Genomic DNA, 17,694 nt, shown 5'->3' with positions numbered 1-17,694 from the left:
CCCCGACCTGTAATATATAAAATACTCCTTAAGGAATTGAACTTAAGGTTTGGGCTGGGAGGGAAAATTTCTTCCCATTTCCATCTAGCTACTTTTCTAGTTTCAATTGGGTTTTTTGAAAGAAACTGGAATTTCAAGAGATAGGTAGAACCCAAAACTTGTTACTAACCAGTTCCCTTGTTTAAATGCATACGAAGGATATTTTCCAGGTTGCCTCATACTGTGCTCATTATATGCTTCCTATCTTGATCAAGAGTCGGCTTTGGAAAAACACTGTTAGCCTGCAAGTTGACTTTTTAGAAGCAGTGTAATTTTGAATAGGTAATACATCGTACAATGCAAAAGCTGTAAAAAGGCATAAATCTCTCTTATTCCCTATTTCTAGACACCGACTATGAAGGCATTGATACGTTTCTTGTGGCTGCTTCCACAGACTTGCTACCTACGATTTCATCCACAATCGTATACATGTGTATATAGGATTTAAACTCACACATAGAAGTGGTAGCGCTTAACAGTCCATCTTGGCTATCTTTAGTTTTCAGTTTTCTTTTTTTTTTTTCTTTTGAGATGGAATTTCATACTTGTTGCCCAGGCTGGAGTGCAAAGGCGTGATCTTGGCTCACTGCAACCTCCACCTCCCGGGTTCAAACGATTCTCCTGTCTCAGCCTCCCAAGTAGCTGGGATTACAGGCATGCACCACCACGACTGGCTAACTTTTTGTATTTTTAGTAGAGTCAGGGTTTCACCATGTTGGCCAGGCTAGTCTCGAACTCCTGACCTCAGATGATCCATCCTCCTCGGCCTCCCAAAATGCTGTGATTACAGGCATGAGCCGCCACGTCTGTCTAGTTTTCAGTTTTCAGTCTTAAACATTTCTCCCAAACTTCCCATTTGTTGGCTCCATGGAGGTGGCCCAGTTTATATTCCCACCCACAGGTGACGGATGTGAGTGCTCTCAACCTCCCGACACACTGCAGCACCTTATCCAACTCTCTTGAGTTTTGCCAGTCTGAGGAAAAAATAGTACCTCATAGTGGAACTTTGCATTTCTGTTACTTTTGTGATAACAAATTGAGGTTAGGTATCTTCTCAATGAATTTAACATATTTTTCCAGTTTATCTCTTGATTTCGTTTATGTATCTTTTGCCATGAAAACTACTTAAAAATGTGTTTATGGCTTTTAGATTTTGTATCATTTAGCAAGGTCTTCCCCAGTTGGAGAGTATAAAAAAGAATTCATGGTTTAAAAAATGTATTTTAAAAAGTCTTTGATCCATCTGGAATTGTAGAATAAGATTAGGAGGTATGCAGGTTTACTTTTGAGGCAAAAGTATGTATAAAGTAACACTTTTCTATAGAAAACTTGGGAAAATACAGGAGGGAATGAAAATGAACCCCAATCCCAGCACCTTCTTATCTATAACAACTGAGATCATGCTTATGCTGGGATTTCAATTTTTTTCACTTGAGATTAAAATACAAACATAGGTTTAGAATATATTTTAATTTATTTAATGTTTTTATGGGTACAAGTAGGTATATATATTTATGGGGTACGTGAGATGTTTTGATACAGGCAGGCAATGCACAATAATCACATCATGGAGAATGGGGTATCCATCCCCTTAAGCATTTATCCTTTATGTTACAGACACTCCGGTTGTACTCTTTTAGTTATTTTTAAATGTACAATTAAGCTATTGTGGACTGTAGTCACCCACACCCTATTGTGCTGTGAAATAATAAGTCTTATTTATTTGTACTATTTTTTTGTGCCCATTACCCCCACACTACCTTTCCCAGCCTCCGATAACCATCCTTCTACTCTCTATCTCTACAATAATTTTAAATGGTTGTTTAAAAAGGGTGTCAACATTTTTGTTTTTAAACCATCCCAAACCGTCCCTTTAAAGGAATGCATGACCAGAGGGTTGCCTTTAAATCTTGCACAATTAAAAGCGTTTTCTCTGAGGCAGCTGATCTCAGGAAATCTTGCACGATTTTGAAGATGCCCGTTTCCCATAAGACCCGGCCCTGCGGGGGCACTTGGCGGGTCTTGGCAGAGCTAAGGGGCTGGGCCCTGCTCCGGGAGGGCGCACTGCAGGGGCCCGGGCCTGGCGCGGCTGCAGCACCTCCTGGCAGCAGGAGTGCGGCGGGGGAGGCGCCAGGAGGCCCCTGCCCCGGCTGCCATCACCCTCGGGTCTGTCCCTGGCCTGGGGCAGAGCCCTTTTGCTCGAAGTCCTTTAATCGCTAAGGAGCTTTCCCAGACTCTTCCCTCTGCAGGCCCGCTGGCCTCTGACGCATGTCCCCTCTGCGGAGCGTTTGGGCACTGGAGGAGCCCTGGTTGGCACAGGCCGCCCCGCGTTCCCAGCTGGGGAAGGAAGGCGGGCGGCCAGGCGGGGGGAAAGAAAGCGGGAGGTGGGGCGGGGTGCTGTCCGTCCCCACGGCCTCGTCGCGCGCGGGGCTTTTTCCAGGACTTGGGGACTTCCGGGGTTGCGCTGTCGTGTCAGGCCGTTGGGCCGCCGAGGGGTGTCGCTGCGCCCGCTGCCCCGCGCGGCCCTTTAAACTTTGTTTTTTAAACTTCGGGGGTGTGGTCGCGGCGCCTCCCCTCTCGGCGGCTGGCAGTCCTTGCCTCTGCCCCGCCTTCCAGATGCTTTGGAGTCATGAGCCGGGAGGGCGCGGGGGCAGCTTTGGTAGCCGAGGTGATCAAAGGTGAGCCGGGAGGGCGGGGGCTTCCCCTGGGGGCTCCGGCACCCGCGCTGGGACAGGGCGGGCAGTGCTGGCTTGGAGGTGCCCCTAGTCTGGGCCCCGGCCGCCCTTGTCTCCTGCGTGTGGGTGGCCTCGGCACTTGTCCCCAGGCTCTGGGCTACAGCGCTCATGGGCGGCTGTGACCCTTGCGTGCCTGCACCTGAGCCTAGTAGGTGAGCTGCACCTCCCCGCCCGCGGGAGCGAGATCCTTGGGCTCTGTCACAGGGATCAAAGGTCCTTGTGGTTGGAAAGGATTAAGCCCTGTCACCCATTTGAGTGTTTGTGGTTGCAAGAAGTTTTAGCTGAGGAGTTTACAAGGAAATAAACGCAGTAATTGCATGAGTTGAATTGCAGATCAAAAAAAAAAAAAAAATAGTTTACCATTTGGGGAAAGGGTGCCAGCTGGCTCTGCTGAAAGTATATATATTTTAAAGGCTGTGCTTGATTTTGCCACGTTGTGAGTGTAAGTATTTTCTTAGCACCACTAGTATTACTATTAGATATTGTGGATGACTTTATTTCACCCGAGGATTTTTAGGCAAGGAATGCGGGTGGAGCCTCCTGAGCCTTACTACTCATTACCATTCTTGCTAACCTCACAGCAGCCTAACTGCATTTATGCAACACAAGTTCATCTCAGACCCATCATGCAGAAACCTCATTGCTTCTGTTTTAATGGTAATTTGTCTAATTGTAAAAATACCGAAGTAGTGATTCCAAGTTAGAAAGTAGTGATCCCTAAGAACAGTTGGAGAAACATATGGTTTGTTCTATAGCTGTAAGCGGTAATTTTGAAGCAATTTTGAAAGCATTCTTTCCCTTTAAGAAAAAAATAGTTTCTTACTGAAATGACTTTTTAGGATGTCTTGAAAAACGTAGTGAAATTCATCTAGAAACTTACAAGGTTGATGCTAGCCATCACATGCATGCTGCAATTTGCTGAAATGTCTTGATCCAGGGGAGCTAAACTTTTACAAAAATAGGTTTGTTTAGAAGTCATATCACTACATGAAAAATCACCACTTTTGAAACTTACGGTTAAAGGCAGTTTCTCTTTTAAAAATGTGCTCATTGATTATTCCCACCCAAATAGCCAGAATATTTTGTAATTACCCATTACCACTCCTACCATCTGAAACGTGCATGAAAAAAATGAAAAATTGACTTCATCTGAAAAGAGTTGTGTCATGATATATGAAACGTTTTTTGTAACCTCCAGGAAGGAACATTGCAATTTTTCCATTTCAGATCGCCTTTGTTTTGCCATTCTCTACAGCAGACCAAAGAGTGCATCAAATGTACATTATTTCAGCATAGATAATGAACTTGAATATGAGAAGTAAGTATTGCTCTTTAAAAGATTTTAACTTTTTGTTTTTGAAGAATCTAAAGGTATGGTTATAAATGGGATGGCCTGGGAAAATTATAAATCTATTGATTGCTAATTACAGGATGCTTGTTTTTCACCTGTAGTAATAAAATAAACCTTTAGAGCAAAAAAAAAAAAACCTCCCTAAATTTAAACATTTAGATTTGCTAGTCTAATATTTACACTACAATGAGATATAAATGTGTACTAAGTAAGATATTGTGGTTTTGCCCTTGGAAATATGTGTGGAAAAACAGCTTTTTTAATTTAGAAGGTATGTTCATGTTCATTGAGGTTACATGTAGGCATTATAGCACTTGTGGCATTTTTAAGTAGGCATTATTTACCAGAATAGTCTTCCACCAGTAAAACAGTACCTTTAAGTTGTATTGGCCCATAACAATTTGGTATATGCTTGCTTATCTTAATTTGATCTTGTAGACCCAAAAAAGGCATTTATATTCAGAGCATCTAGAATGTACATCACATTTTTATTTTTCATTTTTAAAGCTTCTACGCAGATTTTGGACCACTCAATCTGGCAATGGTTTACAGATATTGTTGCAAGATCAATAAGAAATTAAAGGTAAAGTCTTTAAGATTTGACTTAAGTAATCATTGTTAGCTTGATCTGGGGGACGAAAGTAAGGAAAACATCTCTTTTTAAAAAGGAAATGACATGTTTTTCACTGCAGTGGTGTTTGGGACATGCACATGGTTTTCTTGTTTTATAAGATCATAGTGTATCTATTTGTTTTCTAGAGTTTTGAATGAACAGTTTAAGTTTGGGTCGTTTGGTTCTAGTTTGAATTAGTGATGCCCAAATACTTGAAAAGCCAAAGTGGGAATCAGTTAATTAAGTGAACCTCGTATTGTCTGACCTAATAGAACTGAAACTTAACAAGAGAAACTCTTCCCTTGCTGTGGCCATTGTTCTTTCTGCCTTCATTTTGATGGGGAGTGATAGCAAACTAACAAGAAAGCTGGACTCATCTTACTTTCTCTCCTATTTTGAAACTCCCATGATACTGTACTACATGATCCTTTATACATACGATTAAGGGGCGTGAGAATCTAGGGCAAATAAGCATGTCATTAAGGCTGTATTACTGAGAGTTACACAAGTATATTTGTATTGGTTTGAACTTAGACCACATTCATGTATGTAAAACACTGAATTGTTGGCCATGCACGGTAGGAAGTTATGTATGTACTGCTTACTAGCAGTTCCAAATCAGTCACTGTAAATTCTCAACTGGAAAATACTGCTTTTTGGGACAGGCACTTAAAAAAAAAATTTAATTGAATACAGAGAGGAAATAAAATTTATTTTTAATTAGAATTTTAACATGCTTTAATTAAAAATTCATGGGTAAGGCAGATGTTTTTCCTTGACCATGAAAGCTATATTGCTACAGAGCTGGAGACTCTTCTTTTTTGCCTTTCTTAAATAGGAATATAACTATTTATGGCCTTGTGCATTTGAGTTCCCCCTCCTTTTTCCAGTTGCCAGTGGCAGATCTTTTGTTTCATGCAGGACTAGGAAGCTAAAAATAATTCTCTCTTCCTCCAACATTTGTTCCTTTGCTTTAATTTTGGAAAAAAATTTTTTTCCTGTACTCAACCATCTGTGGACTTTTAGTCTTTGGGTCAACCAAAAATGTATCAGTCCTTTTTTTCTTCTTCCTTTTTTTTTTTTTTTTTTTTCCCGTGAGACAGAGTTTCGCTCTTGTTGCCCAGGCTGGAGTGCAGTGGAGCAATCTGGGCTCACTATAACCTCCACCCCCCTGGTTCAAGTGATTCTCCTGCCTCAGCCTCCCAAGTAGCTGGGATTACAGGCATGTGCCACCACGCCCAGCTAGTTTTGTATTTTTAGTAGAGACGGAGTTTCTCCATGTTGGTCAGGCTGGTCTCGAACTCCTGACTTTGTGATCCATCCGCCTCAGCCTCCTAAAGTACTGAGATTACAGGCGTGAGCCACCGCACCCACCAGAAAACTTTTTAACATATAAATAGAAATATGTACACATCATGGATGTAGAGCTCAATAAACTTTCACTAATGGAATATACATAGATGATTATCTTGATCACCAGTCAGGAGCAGTGCACTGGCGGCACCCCATAGCAGCCCTCCATGCTGTCTTCCAGTTCCTGTCTCTGCACACCCCTCCCCTGGTTATTCACTGCCCTGGCTTATAACACTGTAGATGATTCTGTATACCTTTTTATTTTAACTTAAAGGCTTTGGGGACAGATTTCTTTAAAAACCAAACAGAAGGAAAGGTGGTCTTTTCTACCACTCTTGGTTTGCTCTTTCAGAAGCAGCCCATGCTTTAAGCATGTGTCCATTCATGTCCCCTCCCCTCTTCTCTAATTGTATGTTCATTCTCATCCCAGAATGTGCCTTTTTATGGGAAGATATATGGTATTTGTGGGTATCAATGTTAATCTTTTCAAAGGTCTTGCTAATAATATGAATGGTTATGGGATTTGGAATTGATCTTCATCACAAAATGAAATTGTGGAAGACTTGAAATTAAAAAGAAAATGCTAACAGTTATTTATTTTTATGCAGTCCATTACAATGTTAAGGAAGAAAATTGTTCATTTTACTGGCTCTGATCAGAGAAAACAAGCAAATGCTGCCTTCCTTGTTGGATGCTACATGGTAAGTATTTGTTTTCCTAATGTATTCATAAAAATGCACACAACAGTGGTTCTTTACATTTGCAGTTGGAATTTTGAAATCAAGATAATGTCTTGATTTCTCTTCAGAAAGAACGTGTTTTGCTTTTAAAAAATTGACCAATTCAAGGAAGCTGTGCTTATGTGGAAGTAGCAGGTAGATGAGAGATCTCCTGTACCTTCCACTTAATTTTGCTGTGAACCTAAAACTGCTCGGGAAAAAAGCCTATATTTTTTTAAAAAGTGCCCAACTACTTTGGCAAAGGTTTATGTTTTATGGCACTAAAGGTTGGAAAATAGTGCTCCAAAGCTATTTCTATTCACTCGTGATCCATTTAGTGAGTTGTAAAATCATCTTACTGGGGTCAGGACCCCACTATTAATTTTCTAAAAATTTTTTTAAAAAGTGCTTTCTAAAATTTGAATCTAGGCATTTTTCCCCTAATTAAGGTCATCTCCTTTCTCATCAAAACATCTAGCAGGAGGCCACGGGATGTCAGTGTTGTCAGAAGATGGGTTACATACCACACGGATTACATACATATGCCATCAAGTGCTCCATTTGGATCATTGGAAATGTACTTTGGAATAGCAGTATTTACATAAGAGTTGTGAATTTCATTTATTTGTAAATATGATGGAAAAGATTTATTTTTTGAAGAGTCACATTTTGTTTGGCACCCAGTGGATTTGTCTGCAGGGGCCCTGAAAGCTGCAATTTTTCCAGAGCCAGCTTAGAGCTCCTCCAGAGTACTACCCCCTGTGTCTGGTGGTGAGAAAGCTGGCCACGCTGTTCAGTGGGGAGTAGCCAGGGGATGTTTCTTCCACCCCCACCCCACCATCAGTGTAATAGTTATTCTCTCTGAGACTTGAAAAAAAGGGTTGTTTTGGCCGGGCGCAGTGGCTTACGCCTGTAATCCCAGCACTTTGGGAGGCTGAGGCGGGCAGATCATGAGGTCAGGAGATCGAGACCATCCTGGTTAACATGGTGAAACCCTGTCTCTACTAAAAAAAAAAAAAATACAAAAAATGAGCCGGGCGTGGTGGCGGGCGCCTGTAGTCCCAGCTACTTGGGAGGCTGAGGGAAGAGAACGTCGTGAACCCGGGAGGTGGAGCTTGCAGTGAGCGGAGATCGCGCCACTGCACTCCAGCCTGGGCGACAGAGCGAGACTCCGTCTCAAAAAAGAAAAACAGGGTTGTTTTTGGAGCTCTTTAGGTTCTTTCTTCCCCACTTCTAGCTTGCTCCTTATCTCTGGCATGCCTTACCGGACCATTTTAAAATTATTTTCTGGAGTATAGTTTGATAATCTGGAATTTACAAAGACTAGTCCAAAAGTTGGTGATATTAGTTGAAATCGTACCTCAAGATTTAATAATTTTCTTTTTTATGTATAAGGTATATCATTAACAGCAGTGGTTAAGGTCTTTGTTTTGTTTTCCTATTTATGCTCACAAAAGTTGAATTAAATGCTTCTGATTGGGAGGCCGAGGCAGGCAGATCACTTGAGGTCAGGTGTACGAGACCAGCCTGGCCAACATGGTGAAACCTTGTTTCTACTAAAAATACAAAAATTAGTTGGGCGTGGTGGCACATGCCTGTAGTCCCAGCTACTCGGGAGGCTGAGGCAGGAGAATCCCTTGAATCCAGGAGTTGGAAATTGCCCTGAGCTGAGATCGTGCCACTGCACTCCAGCCTGGGTGACAGTGAGTGAGACTTTGTCTCCAAAAGAAAAAAAAAGTTTCTGAGAAAACTTCAAAATTTATTATCATCCCTGAAAGTATGAAACATAGGTTATAGATTGTCTATTAAAATTTGGTTTCATAAGCTTTCCCAGACGTATTGGTGTTTTCCTTTCTCCCAGCCTCTCTTGGTGTTTCTCGTACTTGCAGCAAAAGCCTTAAAAAAAAAAAAAAAAGTTTGAGTAGTTTGGCAGGCGTGGTGGCAGGCGCCTGTAATCCCAGCGACTTGGGAGAATGAGGCAGGGAATTGCTTGAACCTGGGTGGCAGAGGTTACAATGAGCCGAGATCGCACCACAGCACTCCAGCCTGGGCAACAGAATGAGACCCCGTCTCAAAAAAAAAAAAAAAAAGAGAAAGAGAAAAGTCTATGTATGAACCCAAGAAAGAAAAAGAGTATGGAGAAGTGGGTGTTTTAACTGGGACATTTGGTCCTATTACTTGGCCAGTCACTGGGGAGAGGAACCTCATAGATTAACATAAATCATGACAACTTTATAGAAAAAGGAATTCAGCCAGAATTCTTGAGATTCATAAAATATTAAAGGGAACCCTGGAGAAATGGTCCTTGGTGTGACAGAAAAAAGTTCCAACCGTTCTTTGTGGATCTTGCCTTTACACTGACCTGGACAAAGTCTGGATGGCTGAAGTTCCATCTAGGAGAGAGTGCTCCTGAGCAGAACTCCAAAGCAGAGGGGCCAGACCGGGCCACTTCCGGGTCAATTGCTGTCTCTGGTCAGATGAGATGTCCCTGAGATGGTAGGGTCTTGAGGAGCCAGGCACGAGGACTACAGCGTGAAGAACCTCTCTGAAGGTGGCTATGGGCATAGTGGGAACTCAGTCAGGGTTGTCTTAAAAACAGAAACAGAATGTGTGATAAGTTTATAAATAAGAAATCACTCTTTTTAAGTCTTGTTGCTGTCGTTTTTAAACTACTAGTGAACAAACAACAACCCCTTGACGTATGTATTGAAAATTTTTTGGCATATTTGTTTCCAGTTTTATATTGGCCTTTTGACTTTGTTTATGGTTGTATTTTGGACCACAGAAGCTTATTTTTCTATAGTTAATATATCTTAGATTTAGAAATCCTTCCAGAATTTCACACCTTCAGGTTAGTACTGATTTGATTGGTTAGGGAAGTGCCAGGTAAGCAAATTTGGATCTTCACTCGCATTTATTACTTACCCAGTGAGGAGCTAGCTTGGCAGGAGGATTATAGCTCTTGGCTGTGACAGAAGCCTTTGCAGCCATAGCTGGCTGCTAAAATAGGAATTGGGAGCTGTAATGTTGATAGGCAGGAAAGCAGGAGAAAAGCTTCTAAGAAAAGGAAATGTATTCATAGTAGAAAAGCAGTGTCAAGATATAATATGGACACCTGAAAAGATAACACATCAAAGCAAGTGAAGCTTTGATCTGGTTAAAATACGTTAAATCCTCTGGTTAAAGATTTGTGGAGATGAGTGCTAGTTCCCTATAAACTGATCCGCATCCTTGATAACGTTTTCTGGAGTCGTCAGGAATTTTGGAGAGAGTAAGGTTCTTTAGTGTTCGACTTGGCATGGTAATGTTAAAACAAAACCAAAAAAATCTGGAGGAAGAATCTTTAGGAAAGAAATATTCCAAATAGACTGACTCTGTTTATTTTTATCAGTCCTTTTTGAATTCAGGGCTTCTGAAAGTAACGTGTTTCCTTCATCCTTGTATACACAGAAAGACCTAATGTGGGTTGGGCAGAGAGTGTGAGGTAATCCTTTATGGCATGGAAATAAAGTGTTATATTTATTTTTTATCTTAAAAACAGAAGAGGTGAGGCTTCAAAAATGTGTAAAATATGAATTGACATGCCCACAATTGGTCTTTTTGACAGATGGTCAGGCGTCATGTGTGTTACAAGAAGTGAGAAGAGTGAGTTGAGTACTCATTTGTCTTTATTGTATTTCAAAGTATTGCTCTTCATGTGGCCTGGTAAATGGCTTTCCCATTCAGCTATCTGAATGGTAGACTCTTTGGTATCAAATTAGAGTGAAGCTAAAAATCTTTTGCACCACTGTAAGAGTTGAAAAATATAAAAGATGACTTGAGCTTTTGTTTGTTTGCTTATTCACAAAAAGGTAAACATACTATATTGTTTTACAAAATAAGTTTGCTGCCCTATTTAAGCCAGTGGCTATGACCTGGCCAGATTGAGGGATAATGATACTTAACCTGTCATTTCAAAGTAAAGGTGAAATTTTAAGTGGAAAATTTTAAGTGCTTTTCAAAACAAATTCATAATAAAAATCCTTTTGGAAAGAAAAGTTGGAAATTTTGTTTTGTTAATTTTGTTGTAAAAATGTCATACACAAAATCCATATTTGCACTCTTGAGAAATTTAAAAAATCTTTTAAAAAGAAGTTTTTATATTTCTAGAAACAAGACGTGCACGTGTGTGTATATGCACAGATGTATGTTGTGTACGTATATGTTTTATGTTTACAGTACAATTTTAAAATTTTTTATTGGTACATAATTGTACATATTTATGGGTTACATGTGATAGTTTTATACATGTATATAATGTGTGACAGCCAAATTAGGGCAGTTGCAGTATCCATCGCCTCAAACATTTGTCATTTCTTTGTGTTGAGAGCATTTTAAATCTTCCTTTCTATTTTGAAATACACAGTAAGTTATTGTAAACTATAGTCACACTACTGTGCTATCTAACACTAGAACTTGTTCATTCTAACTGTACATTTGTACCAAAGAACCAACCTCTCTTCACTCCCCCTGACCACACACGCCCTTCCCAGCCTCTGATAACCCTTATTCTACTCTTGGCCTCCATAAGATCAACTTACTTAGCTCCTGCATATGAGTGAGAACATAATGGTATTTGTCTTTCAACTTTGGTTACATCTTCCTGCCACAGCAGTTAGATTTTCTGAAGATACATGGTATTCATCTCTTCTATGGGTTAAATGTACTTTTGAGGGCTAGCCTGGGAAATTAACCACCATTTCTAACATCTTTCTGTGTATAAAATAAATGCCAAGCATTTTGTGTAAAAAATAAATGACACAAGCAAACTTTTGGCACGTAGCTTGCAAATTTGCTTTCCTCTAATGTTTAATAGATTACTTTGGTAGAGCTAATTGTAACATGTAGGTTCCCTGTTCAAAATTTATCACTGTATATTATTATTTTTTATGTTTAAGCAGTTTTTATAGCTGTAAGAATGGCTTACCTTGTAAGCATTTATGTTGAAAATGATGATACTAATTAAATTTAAGAATATATTAACTCAGCAATCTGTGAGAAGAATTCTAAACTGCATTAAATTTGAGATTGCCTCTACAGTTATGATAAGAGCTCAGGGACTTTGTTATTTAATGATGATCTTTTGAATCTGTGGTCCCACTTTTTAAATGATTTAATTATCTTGGACTCAGAATAGCCAGTGCCTGCAGGAGGAAAGGATCAGTTGGGAAGTTAAGACAAGGGAACAGAGAACGAGGATCTAGACGCAGTGGGTAAGAATCCAGTTCAGCAAACAGCTGCCCAGATGGGACAGCAGAGGCTGGAGGACAGAATGAGGTCATAACACCCTTCCTGGGTGTCTGTGAAAGGCAGGGCAAACAGCACGAGGCAACCGTCAGTAGTAGCCAGGCCCCAGCTAGTGTGAGGCGAACTGGGCTGAGCAAAGGGACGGCACAGGCCCTCAGTGGGAAGCCAGTGCTTCCTTGGGAGCCGGCCCTGTGGGAGGCAGCTGTCTGCCCTGCTCACAGTGCATCACAGTTTGACTTCCCTTGCCACCCGAGGGCTTCTGACGGGCGTTTCCACTGCCCGTGGTGCTTGCTGGGTGCTGTTAACTTGGGGAAAAAGTGAAGAGAAATGGCTCTCTGATAGCTTAAGATCCTTGACTGCAGATCCGTTAAGCTTTCTGGAATTTTGGGTCCCATCCTTGTTCCGGTCATTGTTTTAGATAGGATGGGTTCCTGTCTATAAATACGGCCAGAGGAGCAGGCCCTCTTCCATCAATAATAGGCGGTGTGATCTTGGATGAGCAGTTGATGCCAAGGTCTGGAAAGTTGTAGCCTGCCAGTTTTATGAAACTCACAGAGCATTATAAATAGTTGTGGGTTTTTTTTCCTCTGTGGTTAAAATTTAGGAGATTTCATTTTTTAAAAAATCAAGATTTTTTTCTTGGTCTTTAAAAAATGTCCCTACCACTCAAATGTGTACTAATTCCCAGGGCCAATTCACTATTTTTATTAGCAGACTTGGTAGATACGTGTTTGCTACTCTGAACTTCCAGTTTCATTTTGTCGAAATTGAGGATCATTATATATATCATTATATATATGTAAAAGTAATTTTAAAAGTTAAAACTATTGAAATATAAGTTCATCTGAGGTTTTTTTTAACGAGTTTTTTTTCTTAACCAGTTTTGTGCAGGAGCTATGAAAGTGATTTTATTTACTTTTTTATTCTCTGTGTTCTTTCCTCTGCTCACCTTTTTTATTGAGCAGTTGAATGTGTAAGCCTATCTTCAACTTGCATTGATTTGTGAGCATTCTTTGTTAATCTGGAGAGAGTGATTTTTTTTTTTAATAATCAATCAAGTTCTTGGCGTAGGAAAGACTGTATCATCTGGCTGACATGAAAATAGTCACAAGAGTCTTTAAGTGCTGGAAACATTGTGACATCTCTCCAGGATTTCCTGGTTACTCAGGCTGCCACATTTGTTGCTGGAATTTCAATATCCTTTGTCACTCTCAGCTCTAGGGTGAAATGACTTGTGTAACGTTTGGGTTCTAAATTGTACAGAGGCTCTCTAAGTATATAAATAAAGCTTCAGAATCCTGTGCATAAGAGTAGAAATAGGAAGCACATGTCTAATTGGGTTTCCATGATTTGAGGCCCGGCTTGTCAGCATTGAAACATTGAAAGGAGAAGTAATGCAGCTGGGATCCTGTTGCTTCTGTTGCTTGTTCTTCCATCACTGCTAGTTCAATACCTCCGAGGTTTTGAAACGTATGTTAGTAATCGAGGGTCCAGCGTTCTCACAGGGACTCTGGCATGCAGATGGTGATTTTAGAAAGTGGGGGTGGTGGGAAGTCCTGGGAATGGTTGAGGTATTGTTCAGCAAAAAAAGAACTTTGTGCCATGACTTTGAAAACCACACCAGTCTCAAGCATTTTCAACCACAGTATTTGCGTGTGTTTGTGTGATATTTGCTCGTTCAGAGAGAGTCTTTATCCTAGAGAAACAAGGTCTTACTGATGCCTCCTAAGCTGCATCTCTGTGCTTACGCCTCATGTATTTGTCTATTCACTTTTAACAAATGGAAACGGCCATTTCCTTAAATTGAGTGTGCTACTGCACACTATTGCTGCCCAGCAAATTACTGCAAAACTTTGTGACCTAAAACAACAGTACGAATTGTCTTAGACCATGTCTATGAGTTAGGCATCTGGGAGTTGCTTAACTTGGTTGGGTCTGGTCTGGTTCTGTACCGTGTCTGGGCTGCATTCACCTGGAGGGTCCATGTCTAAGGGGGCTCAGTCACATACCTGGCAGGTTAGTGCCGATTGCTGGCAGGAGGCCTCTCTTCCATACCACGTGGGCTGCTTGAGTATCCTCCCAAAATAACAGCTTGCTGTACCCAGAGCGAGGGTTCTAAGAGAAAGCATGACAGGAGCTACCTCTTTTATGATCTAGCCTCTGAAATCACACCCTATTACTCCAGTATCCTGTTCGTTACACAGGGGCACCCTGTTCACCGTGGGAGGGGACCACACAAGGGTGGAAATGCCAGCAGATGAGACTCTTTGGGGTTGCCTGGGAAGCTGGCGATCACAGCTGGTCAGCAGCTCTCTTGGTCATCATTTGTTGTTTCCTGTTCTTAACTAGCACTGTGGAATTAGAGTGGGCATTCTATATATATAGCTTCTCATGAAAATATATCAAAAGAATTTGAGAAACGCCAAGTGTCCAGACTGCCAGAAGCACGGTGATAGATCATAAGTTGCATCAATTTAGAGTTTACTAATCTGAGAATTTGTGTTAATGTAGGAGTTATTTATAGGATTCTTCTTTAGTAACAAATTTAGAATGATTTCATTTGGGAAGGCCTTTTGAATCAGCAAGATGAGTAGGTGTAAAAGTAAAAGTTACTTCCTTCATGCCTGGCCAAAAAAGAAAAAAAGGTAAAAGTTATAGATTGGCAAATATATCTTTGATAGTTATATAAGTGGATTTGTTCTGCATCTGTAAACTTCCTTCAGTTTATCTAGTTATGCTTTACATTATTTATTTATGTGCCAGCATTCCCCAACTGGATTTTTAAATTACAGTCTTTTAAAGTTCATCGTCAGGAATTTAGGGGTTTTTTCCCCCATAGGAAAAAAATGTTACATTGTTCTTGTGGTTTTTTGAATCAAACTAGTGTTCCAAGGCTAAACCACAGTCCTTAATGTATTACAGACTATTTTTGCTTTGAAAGTTAGGAGAAAGTAATACCATTGCAATTTTACTAATTAAAGAACCCAAAGAACTGTAATCACAAGCAGGAAAAATTATCTTAAATTAGTGCTTAAGGAAAAATTTGTATAATTTGAGAGAAGGCCTTAGAAATTTAGAGAAATTCCTAAATGGGTCTCTAGATTTCATTTTAGTACACAGATGAATCAGACTCTATTCTTATTTTTATTGGCTTCAAGGTGTTTTTTTATTTGGTTTTGTTTTTTGGTTTTAGGGTTTTGTTTTGTTTTTTTGTTTTTGCCTTTTGAGACTGACTCTTGGTCTGTCGCCCATGCTGGAGTGCAGTGGCGCGATCTCGGCTCACTGCAACCTCCGCCTCCTGGGTTCAAGGGATTCTCCTGCCTTAGCCTCCTGAGTGGCTGGGGTTACAGGAGCCTGCCACCATGCAGGGTAATTTTTTGTATTTTTAGTAGAGACGGGGTTTCACCGTGTTAGCCAGGATGGTCTCCATCTCCTGACCTCGTGATCTGCCTGTGATGGCCTCCCAAAGTCCTGGGATTACAGGCGTGAGCCACCGCACCCTTCCGGTTTTAGGTTTTGTTTTTTGTTTTTTTTTAATCTGCTAGGAAGTCTTAAAATAGAATGGAGAAAATGAAAGACTTTACTGATGTTATCTGGTAAGTGTTAGAAGAGGCATACATGCATCGGAGACTGGAAGGGAATAAGGGAATTTGGAAAAAACAGGCTGATTTTTTTAAATGTTTTAATTTTCATGACTTATAGGTTGATGCTTAGAAGATCTGTGTGTAGGCCGGACATGGTGGCTCATGTCTGTAATCCCAGCACTTTGGGAGGCCGAGGCAGGCGGATCACCTGAAGTCAGGAGTTTGAGACCAGCCTGGCAAACATGGTGAAACCCCATCTCTACTAAAAATACAAAAAAACTAGCCAGGCGTGGTGGTGCACGCCTATAGTTCCAGCTACTCGGGAGGTTGAGGCAGGAGAATTGCTTGAACCTGGGAGGTGGAGGTTACAGTGAGCTGAGATCACACCATTGCACTCCAGCCTAGGCGACAAGAGTGAAACTCCATCTCAAAAAAAAAAAAAAAGAAAAGAAAAGAAAGAAACAGAAACAGGCCAGTCATTGGGAAAATTTTCCGTTTATGAGTCTTGAGTCAGAAAATTGGTGAAATGCCCTTTGGAAGCTGAGTCAGTGCTTATGACTAGTTTTAGGATATGTCTGTTTCTGAGTTTCTAAGATCCTTGCTGGATCTTTGAACTTTGAAAAATTTCTCTTAGTCCAGTGATAGTTTCACATTGATATCAACTTTTATTAAACATTTAAAATTTTCCTAACTATTGTAAGTAGATTTGGGTTCAGCTAAGTACATCAGTGAATCGGATTGGTGTGTAATGAAACCATAAGACATGGGTCCCAACTTCAGAATGCTTCACATTTGGTTGTGGAAACAGGTCACATGTATCATGTTAAGTAATGGAGATAAAAAGTTTGCAATTAACTTTTTTTAGTGATTTCTTTTTTTTTATTAGTGAAATTTAAAATCTATTTCCCCAAAGTAATCTTTGGAGTTCAACCTAATTTTAGTGATAATATATGTGCCAGATTTAATGCTGTTTCTCCTTCCCACCGCTCCCGCCTCCCCAACCCCAACCTTCCGTACATTAGTTGAAAGGGCCCTGCAGGAAGGTTCTGAAGTCCCAGGCAAATGTAATAGGGGGTAGGCAGAGGACTTACTTAGAGAGATGGTGGTGAAAGTCTCAAACTGCAGATTTCTAGAACAAACAGGTTACTTGTAAGAAGCAGACAGAGATACTTAGATCAGTAAAATACTTCTGTAACACTAGAAGTGAGAAGACATGAGAACGTTATCTAGAAACTATCAAGAGGAAATGACTGCAGACCAAAAATCCTACGCATAGTAGTCAAATAAAAAATGTCAAGGGAAAAAAAAAATGTTTGGAAAGGCAAGGAATACCAACTATAGACCTCAAATGCTGAAGAATATACTTGAGGTATTCTCCCAGGTTAAAGTCAAAGCATAGCATAGTTCTAAGGACAAAAGAAGTCAATGAGCGTCGAAAACAAGTGCAGTTTGATAATCAACTTGTTCAGTATTGCAAGCCCTCACACCTACATGGACAGAGTTAATCACAGTCTGTGTTCTGCCTTTGTGTCTCTTTCCACCTCACCCCAGTCTAACCCCATCCCCATCTCCTACACGCTGCTTAGCTGTCATTTCAGTGGACTTTCAGGAAGGAGGGGAGGTAAAAGCATGGGATCAGTCTAACGTCTTGATTTGGAAAATCTGTTTTTAAAATACTGTGCTTCTTACCACAAAAGGTTGCTGTGAAGAGTTGTTGGTCAGGGCTTATACTGCAAACAACAGAAACCAGCAATGGAGGATTTAAACAAAAAAGAAATCTATGGACAGGATTCTGGGTGATTCCTAGGCTCCTGGGGAAGGCTGGAGAACCCTGCTCAGTTGGTTGGAAATTGGACAAAATTTACTTCGCAGTGACAGCACTGTATCTTCACTTAGAAATAAATTGCCTTTTTCTTCTTTTTTCAAACATAGGTTATATATTTGGGGAGAACCCCAGAAGAAGCATATAGAATATTAATCTTTGGAGAGACATCCTATATTCCTTTCAGGTAAA

At 40.5% G+C, this 17,694-nt stretch overlaps 1 protein-coding gene across 35 annotated transcripts in view, besides 3 other annotated features; it reads left to right on the top strand.

Annotated features, from left to right (window-relative positions):
* The window catches only part of CDC14B (cell division cycle 14B), a 128,905-nt gene that overhangs the window by 50,359 nt on the left and 60,852 nt on the right, over window positions 1–17,694 (top strand). For 13 of the 35 annotated variants that reach the window (XR_007061367.1, XR_007061366.1, XR_929864.4 and 10 more), the window contains exons 1-5: window positions 2,509–2,717; window positions 3,973–4,092; window positions 4,633–4,708; window positions 6,700–6,792; window positions 17,613–17,689. Coding sequence is in view for 28 of the 35 variants with exons in the window: in XM_011519147.4 (XP_011517449.2) it covers window positions 2,656–2,717; window positions 3,973–4,092; window positions 4,633–4,708; window positions 6,700–6,792; window positions 17,613–17,689 (428 nt within the window). In the remaining 7 variants the exon portion in view is untranslated. Of the gene's footprint in view, window positions 1–2,508; window positions 3,217–3,972; window positions 4,093–4,632; window positions 4,709–6,699; window positions 6,793–17,612; window positions 17,690–17,694 lie in introns of those variants that run through there. The other 22 variants (NR_147239.2, XM_047423999.1, XM_017015242.3 and 19 more) reach the window with 8 other exon arrangements.
* Window positions 152–352: a silencer, noted in NCBI's record as "peak7299 fragment used in MPRA reporter construct". NCBI's record gives its function as "represses an SCP1 promoter by STARR-seq MPRAs in K562 erythroleukemia cells {active_cell/tissue: K562}" and the evidence as "EXISTENCE:reporter gene assay evidence [ECO:0000049][PMID:32103011]".
* Window positions 2,064–2,153: a silencer, noted in NCBI's record as "silent region_20087". NCBI's record gives its function as "represses an Ori minimal core promoter by ATAC-STARR-seq in GM12878 lymphoblastoid cells {active_cell/tissue: GM12878}" and the evidence as "EXISTENCE:reporter gene assay evidence [ECO:0000049][PMID:35858748]".
* Window positions 2,164–2,323: a silencer, noted in NCBI's record as "silent region_20086". NCBI's record gives its function as "represses an Ori minimal core promoter by ATAC-STARR-seq in GM12878 lymphoblastoid cells {active_cell/tissue: GM12878}" and the evidence as "EXISTENCE:reporter gene assay evidence [ECO:0000049][PMID:35858748]".

This window comes from Homo sapiens, chromosome 9 (assembly GCF_000001405.40).
Source record: "Homo sapiens chromosome 9, GRCh38.p14 Primary Assembly".
Taxonomy (NCBI): Eukaryota; Metazoa; Chordata; class Mammalia; order Primates; family Hominidae; genus Homo; species Homo sapiens.
Note: the sequence above shows the minus strand (reverse complement) of the source record. Positions and strands in the feature narration are given on the sequence as shown.